The sequence below is a fragment of the Homo sapiens genome, chromosome 8 (assembly GCF_000001405.40).
Source record: "Homo sapiens chromosome 8, GRCh38.p14 Primary Assembly".
In the NCBI taxonomy this organism is placed as follows: domain Eukaryota; kingdom Metazoa; phylum Chordata; class Mammalia; order Primates; family Hominidae; genus Homo; species Homo sapiens.
Genome location: NC_000008.11, coordinates 1652311 through 1667741, shown reverse-complemented (window position 1 = coordinate 1667741; position 15431 = coordinate 1652311). Strand labels below are relative to the sequence as shown.

Here is a 15431-nt window from a genome sequence, read left to right as displayed (position 1 = left end):
GGATGCTAAACTATGCATAGGTCAAGATGGAATCTATTTGTACAGGAAACCTGTGTGTGAGAAGAGGTCACCAGCACCTGAAGATGTTAATCGCGGCTGTTGAGTGACAGGATGGGCACTGTCTGCTCTTGGGCTTGTGTGTTTTTCTAAAAATCATTATAACGAATAGCTACTGTTTCTGTAACGGAGAAAATATATAATAGCAGAAACTTACTTGCTTCCCTATAAGTACAGGCTCCATAGGTTTAAGTTGTAGGAAGACCACCGGAAAGGGGCCAGCTCTATGCATCTGAGCTGGGCCAGGCCACGCTCACCTGTGGCCGTCACCAGCCAGTCTCCTCCCAAACTCGAGTTGCATGGGGCATTCTGTACCACCGGCTGTACAGCTGGACAGGCCACCAAAGCAAAATAAATGCATCCGGAGATGATGACTGTATTAAATAACTCTTAGAACCTACCAAAAATGCATGAGGCACCTTGGCCTGGACTCAGGCTATAACTTATTTTTATAGAGAGGATGAACTCCCTAACACTCTCCCTCAACAGGAATTGGTTGTCCGTTACAGTCAATTATTTTCCTTTAGTGCACAGGAAGAGCTGATAAAAGTGCTTCTTGAAGGGAATCTGCTCCCCTCATCAGAGTGCAAAGCAACCACCACCCCACCCCTGCCACACACACACAGTGGGAGGCACTGCCAGGCTGCTTGTGACGTAGGTGAGTGCGCACGTGGGCGTCTCCTGGAGGGGTCTGAGCGCCGTCTGTGAGGACAGACCGAGCAGCAGTTTTCCCCAAGGATGTCCAGACACGGTGCCCGAGAGCAGCTGCCGGCTGCTGCAGGTGGAAACACATCCTTTCTGTGTCTGCAGGACACTTCCCATCCCTCACCTCCTCCAATCATTTTTAACCCATGAGTGGATTTTCCTAATCCACTCTGACCTCTAATGTCATCCCGAGTTAACAAGGACAAACGACAAAACAAGCCTGCCATTCAGGATGACCTGTGCTTTAAGGCATAATGTTACATATTAACATTTACAAAGTGGAGACTTTTTTTTTTTTTTGAGATGGAGTCTTTCTCTGTTGCCCAGGCTGGAGTGCAGTGGGGCGATCTGAGCTCACTGCAGCCTCTGCCTCCTGTGTTCAAGCGATTCTCCTGCCTCTGCCTCCCGAGTAGCTGGGATTACAGCGCTTGCCACCACACCTGGCTAAATTTTGTATTTTTAATAGAGACAGGGTTTCACCATGTGGGCCAGCCTGGTCTCAAACTCCTGACCTCAGGACCTCAGATGATCCACCCACCTCGGTCTCCCAAAGTACTGGGATTACAGGTGTGAGCCACCACATCCAGCCCAAAGTGGATACATTTGTAAAAAGCATGCATTGGAAAGAGAATCTGAAGCCTAGAAAACTGAGGAAGGATGATCAGATGTTATGAAATCAATCGGGTGCTGAGCTTCTCTTTTACCAGACAAACATTCAAAATCCTGTCTTTTTTTCTTTTGTTCCTGACTTTTCCCTCTAACGTCAATCAATGCCTTAAGCAAAATTATTGAAAACTGACAAGATTCAAGGCACTATTTAGGAGACTCAGAAAGTTCCCAAGACTTCTCCATCCCAAAGGCCAGTAGTGCCGGGGAGAGACCTGGGTTAGGAAATATTTCGTTTTTCCGGGTGGGACGCGTTGGGGACTGCACATTCATCTCACCTTGGCAGGGATGAGGTCCGTTTAAACACTTGCTTCTGATGACGCCTTTCCTGGCAGTGTTTCACAGCGCTGATTTATCAAGGGTGTTGAGTGCGACATGGACACATGGTCAGAGAGCCCGCGGGTGGAGATGTGAGGAGGGCTCATCGATAAAGGGGTTTCCACGTGACAGCCCTGGAGAGTAGGCGGCTGTTTTCATGGTAACCCATTTGTCATGGGTCATTTACAGAAAACAGAATCTTTATCATCAATGACACGTCTTCAGATTCTACGGCTCTGGCCGAAGGCAGGCCCGGTGTCCGCTGCGCGCTGGAGCGAGACTGCGGACGGGGGCTCTCAATGACCTCTCCAGTGGCAAAGCTGGCTCTGCGTTGCTTCTCTTAAGCAGAAATATTGATTCCGAAGAAGTTTTGAGTCCCAGCAATAGGGGTAGTAAAAAATCAAAGGCAACAGAGAGACGCGGGAATATAGATTAAAATGTGACATCTGCCTTATTATATTTTTCTTTGGCAAGTTTGAGATGAGCAGAAAGGTGATATTAAACACGCCAAATTGGTTGGATTTTCCCAGCGAGGTTCACCTAAGCAGTGAACGATGGCACATATCAAGCGTCATAACCATGTCACAACATGTCACAGGCAAATGCAACAGGGAGGAAGTAATCAGTTAGTGACCTGCCCAGAAAATTTGAGCAAATGCATGCAAATTCATCCCCACCTTGGCTCATTATGTGTTTCATAGTTACTCTCAAAGGTCTGTCGCCACTGTTCAAAATCACAGACCTCACTAAGTGTATTTAAGTAAAATTTAAAGAGTCTGAAAAATTTCACAAAACAAGTAAACCTTCCTTCTTGTATGGAATATCTCGTAAATTAAAAAAAATGTATGGGGCAGCTTATGACTTATCTCCATGATCACAGGAAAGTCACATACCACATCTTCTCACTTTATAATGTGTTTGCTACAGGCTGATGAAATGATTTTTTAAACTGATTTCTTTGTAAAAATGTAGTTGCATGCCACACTTTTAAAACAAACAGATTAAGAAGGAGCAGTTCACCTCCAGCGTACAAAAAGAAGAATTTACTACACTCTACCTGGCAGGGCACACACAGTGATTTTTCCTGGATGACAAAAGAAAGACATGATGCTCTTTCTAAGTGTGTGTGCACATGCCTGCCAGGTTGTTCTCAAAACCACTAAAACGAAAACGTGGTTTGAAGCAATTAGCTGTGCTGCAGTGATACAGGGATTATCACTGACTGACTTTCGTAAAAGTTGTGGTTGGAACTTTGTGAAAGAGTATTGTTTTTCACCGTTATCAGCAAGGCTGCAATATTGAACTGAATGTCCAGGTCGAACTGAATGTCCATATGGTTGCTGTTACCATATGGGTTTTCCAGAGACCATTGATAAGGGGGCTGAAGACCCTGGGCTTTCTTCCACGTTGGGCACCGACGTAAAGTGCCTGGCAAGCTTCACTGGTGGATACAACATTGTAAGATTCGCTGATTTCAGGAAGCATTTATCTAGAGCCTAAGAGCCTGGCCCCAGTGTGCTCCATAATCACACTGAAAAGGCCGTCCTGAGAACCAAGGGTGCAGCATCAGAGACTAGGGATGCCCAGAGAGAGACTGGGGTTGAAAGAAGCTTCCTGGGGGTGAGCCTGGCCGTGCCTTGAGATGGATGGAGCTGCTCCTGGGAAGCAGGAGTAGGACGGGCCAGCGGACATAGCCTGTGCCTAGATGTACCCATGCCACCACGGGAAGGGCTAGTAGACGTGGCCTGTGTTGTAGACGCACCGATGCCACCACAGGAAGGGCCAGGTGACACGGCCTGTCCTGTAGATGCACCAACGCTGCCACGGGAAGGCCAGTGGGCATGGCCTGTCCTACAGAAATGCTGATGCTGCTGTGCCCGCACCCACAGCCTCAGCTCTAGAAAGGCAGCCCTGGTGGAGGAGGGTTTGGTATCAGTGGATCAGTTGTCATCAACAAAACCACTATTCTCTGGCATAAGGATACTGCAAACTTTACTTGGATTTCCCCAGCGGTCTGCAGGCTCCTCTGGGGGCTGAACCGACTGGTCACATTAGTGCTCTGGGGATACGGCCTGACTTCTTCTTTTCTTTACAAGCGTCATGGAGTTTTCCTCAAACTATTTACCTTCTGGCAGAAACAGCAAATGACCATTCTGCCGTTCTCTCTTCCTCTAAATCAAAACATGCGCTGTGATGCTGGAACGCTTGTTTTGCTCTGCTTTCCTCTGGTGATTTAATATCTTGAGATGATTTTTACCACTCCCTGCAGTTGAGTTTCACTTACAGGATCCACAGACTCACAGGCAAGTCACAGCTGTCAGACCAAACCTCCCCTGTGAGTCGAAGTTAACCATTACGCTCAGGGCGCAAGGGAAAGGGGGGCTTCTCGGTCCTTTCCTGCAAAATCTGTGGACAGGGAAATCTCACACACTTCTTTCTGGTTCTATTAAATCAATCTTTCTTGCTTCAGACATGAAAGCATGTCATCATGTGATCTTGGAGAAACTGCCTTCCCTCTGTCTGAGGGTGCTCTGCGGTGTCCGGCGTCCCACGAAGCGGAGATAAGCATCCAGAGAAGCTGGCGAAGACGGGTGCACAGTAAGGGCGCTGTCACCACCGGGTCCCCAAACAGCACTGGCCGACTCCACCATCAAAGGAGAGAAGAAAATGCCAGCAGCAGCTGCAAACTTGCCACCACCCCTTCATTTCTTCAGTATGAGAAAGAAAAGTCACCTTGGAGTGCGCATGTGCATGTACACACACACTCACACCCCACACTCACACGTGTACACACACACAGTCATACCCCACACTCACACGTGTACACACAGGCACACATCCCCCACACTCACACATACACACACACACCCCCCACACTGTGTACACACAGGCACACATCCCCCACACACATGTACAAACGCACACACACCCCACACTATGTGTACACACAGGCACACATCCCCCACACTCACACAGGTATACACACACACACACCCCACACTCACACATGTACACACACAGTCATACCCCACACTCACACATGTGTACACACACACACCCCACACTACGTGTACACACAGACATGCATCCCCCACACTCACACATGTACACACGCGCACACACCCCACACTCACACGTGTACACACAGGCACACATTCCCCACACTCACACATGTATGCACACACTCACAGCCCACACTCACACGTGTGTACACACACACCCCACACTCACACATGTGCCAGGCACTCTGTGGAGCACGTTATACTTTGCAGTTCATTAAGCTTCAGAACAACCTTGTGGGGTAGGCGGTCTTGGCATTTGCATATCTTGGAAGAGAAGGTGGAAGTCTGAATGGGCTTAAACCTCTTCCTGACATCAGCCCACAAGAAAAATGGTAGAACTGAGATTCAGATGCTTCTCCAGTTGTTGGTTATAATGAGTCTAGTTTTCTTTTTTGTGACCATTTACATAGCAGAACCTTATTTCTCATGACCTGATCTAGTGTTTTCTCATTTAAGAGACGGGTCCAAGAGTGCACGTCAGAATCCTTGCCCACTGCAAAATTCAATGAAAGAGGCACTTATTTCAGCAAGATTTATGGCGGTTCCAGGTTTCCTAAAAACAAAAAATCAAAATGCCTTTGGTGGCAGAAGATATTTTAAAGATTATACCCTGACACTCCATGACCCAAACTGTTTAAAGGGACTATTAACTAATGGGCTTAAGCCAGAGTAAGAGGAGATTATATGAAATGGGCTTTCAATTCCTTAAATCATACCAAATCAATGAAAATTATTTTGGGAAAGAGGCCTTCGAATATTTGTTTATTGGCTTGATGATATATTTTCCTGGTTCATAGGAAAGGTGTGTGGGACCCACTGATTTCCAAAGCATCAGTTCATCCCTCATGACCTATGGGCGGAAGACCCTTTGCGGCAGCCCTGTGACTGTGACTGTGTACTTCCCCTGAGGTCTTGCTGTGGCACAGCACACAGGCTCACCATACTGTAAGGAGCGTGACCGTGTTCTTCCCCTGTGGTCTTGCTCTGGCAGAGCACCCAGGCTCACCATACTGTGAGCAGCGGGCTTTGCAGGAGATCTGGCTCTCTGTTTCAGCTGAGTGATGGTGATGACACCGGCTGAATTGTCCCATAGGGCGGATGTTTATGGGTTTCTTTAGATAAACATAGAAACTGACCCTCCTAGTCTTGAAACCTGAGAAAGTTACATCTGTCTTATCTGAGTTCCTTTCTAAGGACAGCAGCCATCAGGCCTCCCAGATAGCATCATGGAGCTCCAATTCACCAGATCACTGCATCTAGACAATGAGACCAAAGACCTCACATCCACTCTGACTGCCCAACCCATCATCTGCTTCCTGGTGGCCGCCTCTTCCTCACAGCTCCCTCATTTCTGTTTTCCCATACATGGTTACATTTCTTCCCTGCTATATAAACCTCTAATTTTAGTTTGCCAGGGAGATGGATTTGAGATGGATCTCCCATGTCCTTTCCTGCAGCATCTGATGAAAGCCTTCTTCCCTGGCAATACTCGCTGTCTCAGTGATTGGCTTTCTGTGCAGTAAGCAGCAGAACTTAGACCCAGCTTCTGGCCTTTTGTCAACAGTGATGTTACTCCCTGCCTCTTCTCAGTGCTCCTACTGGCCATGTCAACATAGTAGAGGCCATGGAGAACAGGTGGTCATGCACCACACAGGTCTGCAGCCCCCACCACCATGAGGCGCAGCACCTCAGCGGGATGAGGAGAAGCTGGGCCCAGCAGGCTGAGAATGAGAGCTCTCCTGGGGCTCCAACGTGAACAGGAAGAAAACCAGCTTGAAAGGCTTTGAAAAGGATTTCTATTTAGACAACGTTTTCTTGGAAAGAGCTAGAGCTTGAACACTTGTGAACTGCCAGTCACTGCTGTCTTTACATGGATTTGTCCCCTAGCCTCCCCCAACCCTTGCCAGCAGAAACAGGTGAAGTTTCTCCCTGTCTCGTAGACAGGAAGTGCAAGATTCCGGTTCCAGCAGCCTTGTTGCTGAAAGTTGCGGTATTAGCTACGGAATCACGGTGCCGTGTATTCTTCGGTGACACCATTCAAGGGGAAAAGCCCACTATGTTATCAGAACTTCAGGTTCTCTCAAAAACAATTGGGCCATTTAGCTAAAGGACCAAGGGAAAGTTTTGATTGATCATCTGAGGGTTTACCAACCACAGGATCTGAAACGCCATCTCTGCAGGAGGGAATATGTGTCCTGGTAGGATATTTTTAATCCCCTAAAAATATTAATCACTTGTCCATGTAAGTCCCTTTGTTAATGACCCCATGAGAAATCCAACACATAGTTTTAATAGAAATAACTGACCTGTAGCGTTTAAAGAATTGGAAACACTGTAGAAGTTAAAGAAACATTTAGCAATACACATAAAAACTTCCAGGTATGCAGATACCAGACGCATTTTTACATGTGAGTACAGAGGTCAAGGGGGATCTGTGTGTGAAGACCAGGGACAGGCACTTAAAATATATTTTAAATATAGCTTTTGTCATTCTCACTTACAGTGGGCGTATATGCATATAATATAATCCCTCATGCATTCTGAATGGATTGTTTATAGCAGAACAATAAGTTACAAATAATACAGCAGTTATTAAGAAATTATTTTTAGGCAGCTAGAAAAGGTGAAAGATCTTAGTAGAATTTTCCTTTAATGAAAAGCAGCCCTCCAGCCAGAGAGAAAGGTCAGGTTACACACAAAGGGAAGCCCATGAGACTAACAGCAGATCTCTCAGTAGAAATCCTACAAGCCAGAAGAGAGTGGGGGCCAATATTCAACATTCTTAAAGAATTTTCAACCAGAATTTCACAGGCAACCAAACTAAACAAACTAAATAAGTGAAGGAGAAATAAAATCCTTTACAGACAAGCAGATGCTGAGAGCTTTTTGTCACCACCAGGCCTGCCTTATAAGAGCTCCCGAATGAACCACTAAACATGGAAAGGAAAAACTGGTACCAGCCACTGCAAAAACATGCCAAATTGTAAAGACCATTGACACTATGAAGAAACTACATCAACTAACGGGCAAAATAACCAGCTATCATCATAATGATAGGATCTAATTCACACATAACAATATTAACTTTAAATGTAAACAGGCTAAATGCCCCAGTTAAAAGACACAGAATGGCAAACTGGATAAAGAGTCAAGACCCATCAGTGTGCTATATTCAGGAGACCCATCTCATGTGCAAAGACACACATAGGCTCAAAGTAAAGGGATGGAGGAATATTAACCAAGCAAATGGAAAGCAAAAAATAGCAGGAGTTGCACTCCTACTCTCTGATAAAACAGACTTTAAGCCAACAAAGATAAAAAAAGACAAAGAAGGGCATTGCCTAAAGGTAAAGGAATCAATGCAACAAGAAGAGCTAACTATCCTAAATATATACACACCCAATACAGGAGCACCCAGATTCATAAAGCAAGTTCTTAGAGACCTATAAAGAGACTTAGACTCCCACACAATAATAGTGGGAGACTTTAACATCCCACTGTCAATATTAGACAGATCAATGAGACAGAAAATTAACAAGGATATTCAGGACTTGAACTCAGCTCTGGACCAAGTGGACCTAATAGACATCTACAGAACTCTCTACCCCAAATCAGCAGAATATCCCATTCTTCTCAGCACCACATCACACTTACTCTAAAATCAAACACATAATTAAAAGTAAAACACACCTCAGCAAATGCAAAAGGATGGAAATCATAACAAACAGTCTCTCCGACCACAGTGCAATCAAATTAGAACTCAGGATTAAGAAACTCACTCAAAACCGCACAACTACATGGAAACTGAACAATCTGCTCCTGAATGACTACTGGGTAAATAACGAAATTAAGGCAGAAATAAATAAGTTATTTGAAACCAATGCTTTAGCTGTGTCCCACAATCTCTGGGACACAGAGTTTCTGGGACACAGCTAACACAGTGTTTAGAGGGAAATTTACAGCACAAAATTGTCACAGAAGAAAGCAGAAAAGATCTAAAATTGACACCCTAACATCACAATTAAAAGAACTAGAGTAGCAAGATCAAACAAACTCAAAAGCTAGCAGAAGACAAGAAATAACTAAGATCACAGCAGAACTGAAGGAGATAGAGACACAAAAAAACCTTCCAAACATCAATGAATCCAGGAAAAGATCAACAAAATACATGGACCGGTAGCCAGACTAATAAAGAAGCGAAGAGAGAAGAATCAAATAGACACAATAAAATATGTTAAGGGGGATATCACCACTGATCCCACAGAAATACAAACTACCATCAGAGAATACTATAAACACCGCTATGCAGATAAACTAGAAAATCTAGAAGGGAATGGATAAATTCCTGGACACATACACCCTCCCATGACTAACACAGGAATAAGTGGAATCCCTGAATAGAGCAATAACAAGTTCTGAAATAGGCAGTAATTAATAGCCTACCAACCAAAAAAAGCCCAGGACCAGACGGATCCATAGCCTACGTAACAAAACTGCACGTTCTGCACATGTATCCCAGAACTTAAAGTATATATATAAAAAAGTAGCCCCTAAACCGTTTCTTCTTTAAGGGAAAGCTGCCTAAGAAGTCAGGCATAGATATGCAGACTAGGAGCTTTCATATGTAAATGGAGCAGCTGTACCTGGAAGCCAGGTACATTCAATATGGCATCTCCTGCTCGCTTTTGCTTGTCAGTATGTGCAGGGTGTCATGGCAGCCTCCAGGTAAAGCCAGGTATACAGGTATCATGGCAACCAGCCAGGTGGAGGGTGGAGCCCTCATTTGCATAATAAAAGACGAGGGTGGGAGGGCCAGTCTTTTTGCGAACTATGTAAATGTCACATCTGGTCTAACCAATCCCCTGGGCCCTATGTAAGCCAATCACCACCTCCTCAAGCCTCTGTACAGAACCGATTGCATTCTGCTGCAAACGGGAGACTTTCTTTTGGGCGATCTGCTCCCTCAGCATAAGGAAGTCTTTTCTCTCTCACTTCTTTTTCTATTAAACTTTTCGCCCCCTAAAACCATGTGTCCATGTCGTAAATTCTTTCTCGGCTGTGACAAAAGGACCAGGGTTTATACCCCAGACAACGAAGCTGTTTCACTTATATTTTCCTTATATTGGCAATATTTGATTTCTATATTTTAAAAATTATCAGTTGTCCTGGTTAAATAAAAATTGCAGTACATAAAATGATTTTGATATAGAGATTAACATTAAGAAATGATTTCTGAAACATGGAAGTATATCACTGCATCCATTCATTCATTAATCCATTCTTTTGACAAACATTTGTTGTGCCTGTACAGCCCTGTGTGATAGAATTGTAAATCTCTACATGGCTCATTAAAGTTAAAATTGGAGGCTGGGAAACAATAGTAAAGAAAGAATTCAAAATGATCATTTGACCACATTAATTTGCTGCCACAGATTAAAATCAATGAATGAAAGCATTTTACACATTAGAGAAAAATATCCAGCCATTCAGTTGGATGGTGTGGGTGATAATAATCGTCTTCATTCTGTTTCTGTGAGTGCACGCCTAGCATGCGTTTATCACAACTAATCCTTATGAGCTATAGGCTGTGTTATCTATCACTTTCTATATGTATGTCAAACATTAAATGTATTTGAAAATTCAAAATTTAATTTAGCAATGTAATTCTAGTCTACGTCCTTAAAAAGAAGATGAATCAAGACAGAGACAGAGATTACTAAACAACCACATGGGATTATATAAGTGATCAAATATGTATTTTGAAATTAGAAGAAGAAATGATTGTTTAATAACTGAAAGTTTCTGAAGACCTGACCTGACTACTTTCTTTAAAAAAAAAATACCTATTCCAAGCATGAGTATCTGTTTGGTTTTTAAAGCCTAGCATTGGTTTCTTTTACCATGTAAACAACACTATAAAATCCCTGATGATTTTTTTTAAGTGTCTTCCAAATTACAGGGAAATAGATGAAAACATACCTGGGCTTTGTAATTCAATTACTGAATTGGTTTGGATTTTGTTTGTTTCACAGGGATCGCATAAGTTGGTGTCACTCTGAGAATAATGGGGTTGTGATCAGAAGGAACTGTGTAACATGCTTTGCCTCTTGAGTACTCTGAGGCCAATGGAATGACTTGGGGCACGAAGAAAAGGTTAATCACACTACTTAGGATGGAGAGAGCCACACATATAGTAAGTTTTAGGAAGAATTCCATAAAAATTGCATGAAATGAAGAGTGTTGATGCTTAAAGGAAATGTATTCAGGTGGATGGGTCCCTCCCTGTTAGAGCTGAATAAATGGGGCAGGGAAGAGGTGTGTAAAAACTGACTTTCCTCAGATGTATCTGGAATTGAGCCCACCTCATTTGCAAACCCCTTCTGAAAAAATTGCCCAAATATCTGGAGTCAAAAGGACTGTCAGAAGGGGAGATGGCACAATTGACAAATACGCAGTGGTGGCTGCAGTGTTGGCAGAGTGAAGGGGTGGGAGACTGCTACCCATTGAAAATGCCTACATTCTTAGGTTTACCACAGTTGTGTCAGAAAGGCTCCTTTCTAGACTGCCCTGACCAATAACTTAGCTACTGGCCACAACAAATGGCTCAAACTTTTTTTTTTTTTTGAGACAGAGTCTTGCCCTGTCACCCAGGCTGGAATGCAGTGGCACGATCTCAGCTCACTGCAATCTCCGCCTCCCGGGTTCAAGCAATTCTCCAGCCTCAGCCTCCCAAGTAGCACGCGGTACCACGCCTGGCTAATTTTATATTTTTAGTAAAGATGGGGTTTCACCATGTTGGACAGGCTGGTCTCAAACTCCCAACCTCAGGTGATCTGCCCGCCTTGGCCTCCCAAAGTGCTGGGATTACAGCTGTGAGATGCCACACCTGGCCTCCAATATTCTAAAATATCTGAACACCTAAAATACCATTACACTTGGGTTCCTCTGCGGCACACGCTGTGTGTCCACTGGTCATGGTCAGGTGCGGCCAGCAGCTACCACGCTGGCCTGCCTAAGCGTGGAACGTCTTCCTCATCATGACGGCTGTGCTGGCAGCGCTGTCTAGGACATGTCCTGCATGAAGAGGCCATGTCTGGACATAGTTCCCTGAGTGTTCTAACACAGCACATGAAGCAGAGGACTCTGATCATGAAGGTCCTTCAGGTCTTCAAGGTGTTGGGTTAGCCAACCTCGTGGAGGAGATTTTGGACCAAAGCATTTTACTGGAAAGAAGCTCGTGTGAATGAGATGAAAGAAACTGCTCCACAATCTACACTTCACATGGCTTTGAGGAATCGCAAATGTGAATCCATCATCGCTTTAAACACATGTTTAATTATCCTTCTACACCTGGAATTCTGGACACCACTTCTGAATTCAATGCTTGAAAGTCATTTGCAAACCAAACGGGAATTTGAAAATTAGCATTCCATCGTATAAGGCACAAATACGTAATCAAGATAAAATATCCCTTGAATGGCAAGCATTGCCATTCTATTTGAATGTAACAGCCACACTTGCATTCATTGCACTCTCTTAATTAGAACTTCAAGGATGATAGCATAAAAGGAATTACAGTCATCAAGCCCATGACTGTCTGAATGAGAGAATGAATATTGGACAAACTAAACTTTCAAGGCAAAAGATTCAACATAGAGGATCAAAGCCATTTTGACACTTTAATTAATGCTAGTCACAAAACAGAAGAATAAATCAGACAGGACACAGAAGTCACATCCCACAAGCATACACACAATGGTTTTCCTGAAGTTACAAGAAATTATGTGGGTCCCACAAGTTCTGGGGCAACGTTGATAGGCTAGCAGCAAAGATGTCTATTTTGAATGTGTTAATTAGCAAGAAATTATAGTCTCACCAGCATTTAACATGTAGACAGTAAAATGAAGTGATGTCAGCTGCTCTGCTGTTCGAGACACTTCCTGTTTCCATTGAAAAGGTTTGAACATCACATCACACGGCGAGAACTTGTATTTTCTGAAGAACACTGAGAATGCATCAACGTTTAGTGAACGGAAGAGTCACATGTTTCTAAGTACAGAATTTTGAATGTTCAAAGGGCCAGGTAACAAAACTAAAGGATAACCCAGAAAAGGAATGCATCATCAGTGATGGCGCACACTGACTTTTAGGATGATTTGACATCAACACACACAAAAAACAGAAACATATCAGCAACATAGTTTGGCTCCTTCCCAATCCAATTGATAAGTAGGACACAATTATGTTCCAATTCTTTTTTTTTTTTTTTTTTGAGACGGAGTTTCACTCTTGTCACCCAGGCTGGAGTGCAATGGCGTGATCGCAGCTCACTGCAACCTCCGCCTCCCGGGTTCAAGTAATTCTCCTGCCTCAGTCTCCCGAGTAGCTGGGAGTACAGGCGCTTGCCACCATGCCTGGCTAATTTTGTATCTTTAGTAGAGATGGGGTTTCACCATGTTGGCCAGGGTGGTCTCGAACTCCCAACCTCAGGTGATCCACCCGCCTCTGCCTCCCAAAGTGCTGAGATTACAGGCGTGAGCCACCATGCCCGGCCATGTTCCAATTCTTTAAGAATGCAAAGCTTCTTAGATGAAAACATGTTTGAAAGGAATAATTTTTCCAGTGGAAAAATGAAGAGACCAAGAACTGGAGGATGCTGGTGGGCCTGTTTTTTGAGATGCTGTGAACTGTACAGGAGGTAGCATTTGTTACACATCTTCACAGTCAGTGTGTCTCTCCATATGTGCATGTGCGTACACGGGACACCTAATTGTGAATGACATCTATACTGAAGTTGTATCAGAATGAAATCTTTACTACCAAGATTTCAAGGGAGGGCTAATTCTGTAGGTGGTATTTTATTTGATGATGAGAGTTTATTTTTACCATGCACATGGCAAATAGTGAGTGCGCAGACATTGATCCGTCAACTAACATACCTGAAGTTACTAATGTCTCTCTTTCTAAGGATAAGGAAGTGACCTTCAATTAAAAAATTAATAAAACAATAAAGCAAAGGCAACTGACAAGAGTTAAGACCGTGTTACCTCTGACTTACACCTCAGAGTCAAATGAATATATCCTAAATCATGTCAACGTCTCCCATAAAGCTTGATCAGAAGGTTGGAAGGTCCCAAACCCACACTATGGATGTCATAATCTCAATCTTAAGGTGACCCTAATGGAAAAGGAAATACAGGAGTCCGCCCCTGCAGTTCACAGCCCAAGCAAATACAGGAGTCCGCCCCTGCAGTTCACAGCCCAAGCAAATACAGGAATCCACCCCTGCAATTTACAGCCCAAACATCCTGACTTGCCCTCTGCCCACGGATCTGAGAGACGGACCCATCAGAGGGCTGCCGTTGGTCCTGCCAATAAATCAGGGCTCCTTGCACTGAAGTTGCTCTGTGAACCTCCAGAGCCTATGTGGATCAGTAAGCATCAGTTTGAGCTAGCTGAGCATGAACGACACCTGTGGGGCCAGGAAGCCGGCAGCCTTGAGAGCAGTGAGGGTGTGGGATGGCCACGGGATACCCGGGCTCGGTTCTGGCCCCGCCACAGGAAGCCCTATGACCCCAGGCACCTGCAGCCTCCCCGTGAGCGGGGTGAGGATTGTCGGCTCCCTACCCCACCCGCAGGGCCAGCACCAAGAACCAATGCAATGCCAGTGTCTCCAGGCACCAAGAACCAACGTGCTGCCCGTGTCTCCAGGCCTGGCAGCATCTGCGTGGTGAGGATTGTCGGCTCCCTACCCCACCCACAGGGCCAGCACTAAGAACCAACGCGATGCCACAGTATCTCCAGGCCTGGCAGCAACTGGGCACTCCTTCTTCATCCTAATCGTCGAAATAGATGTGTTTCAAATCCCCCATTTACAGTGGTACCCTGAAAATGAAGAGCTTCTAACAAAATAGAGAAAGGCCCATGACAGTCCTCTGGGTCACCAGGAAATTGCGACTCTCATGGGCCCAAGGCAAAGGGCATATGGACCGGAGAGGCTGGCAAGATAATTGCACAATGAGTCATCTGTGGCACAGCCTTGAGATACGAACGCTGATGGGATGATACATAGACCAAGGAGGCAATTTACTTTGCTTTTCAGAAACTGCTCATAACATTTTGGTTCGCCAGCTGGTCTCATTACTGTCTGTCTCGCATGTTATTCTTTATTTTAAAATAAAGATCTGACCCTGACTTCAAGAATGACAGAAACAGACGATGCAAATTCCATAAGGAATGAAAATAAGTTTTACATAAGTGCACAGAAAGGACTGATTCATCCATGTACATGTCCCCAAAAATCTACGGACCGCCTACCACTTCCTAGGTGTCGTTGACCTGACAGAGGGTTTTATTCTCTACCTTGTCTCTGCTCTCCTGGAAACTCAGAAATATCACGCACAAGACCAGGGTTAGTTGCAAGTGGGCAGCAGTGCTAAGGTAGTAGTTCACACAGAGAGAGAATCCTTCTTATTCATTCATTTATTCCTTTTTTTCACTAAATAAATCAACAAACATTTCTATCTACTATGTGCCAAGCACTGTTCTAGGCACGGGAATTCAGCAGCGAGGAAAACCCGGCCCCTGTGGAACTTATATTCTAGCCAGGGGAGAGACTCACAA

General features: G+C 44.5%; 1 protein-coding gene across 1 annotated transcript in view, besides 1 other annotated feature; it reads right to left on the bottom strand.

Moving 5' to 3' along the window:
- The window catches only part of DLGAP2 (DLG associated protein 2), a 970849-nt gene that overhangs the window by 40735 nt on the left and 914683 nt on the right, over positions 1-15431 (bottom strand). The gene's annotated exons all lie outside the window — the stretch shown is intronic.
- Positions 9189-9910: an enhancer, noted in NCBI's record as "OCT4-NANOG hESC enhancer chr8:1605998-1606719 (GRCh37/hg19 assembly coordinates)". NCBI's record gives its function as "activates a minimal SCP1, AML or CMV promoter by ChIP-STARR-seq in primed H9 embryonic stem cells {active_cell/tissue: H9 hESC(primed)}" and the evidence as "EXISTENCE:reporter gene assay evidence [ECO:0000049][PMID:30033119]".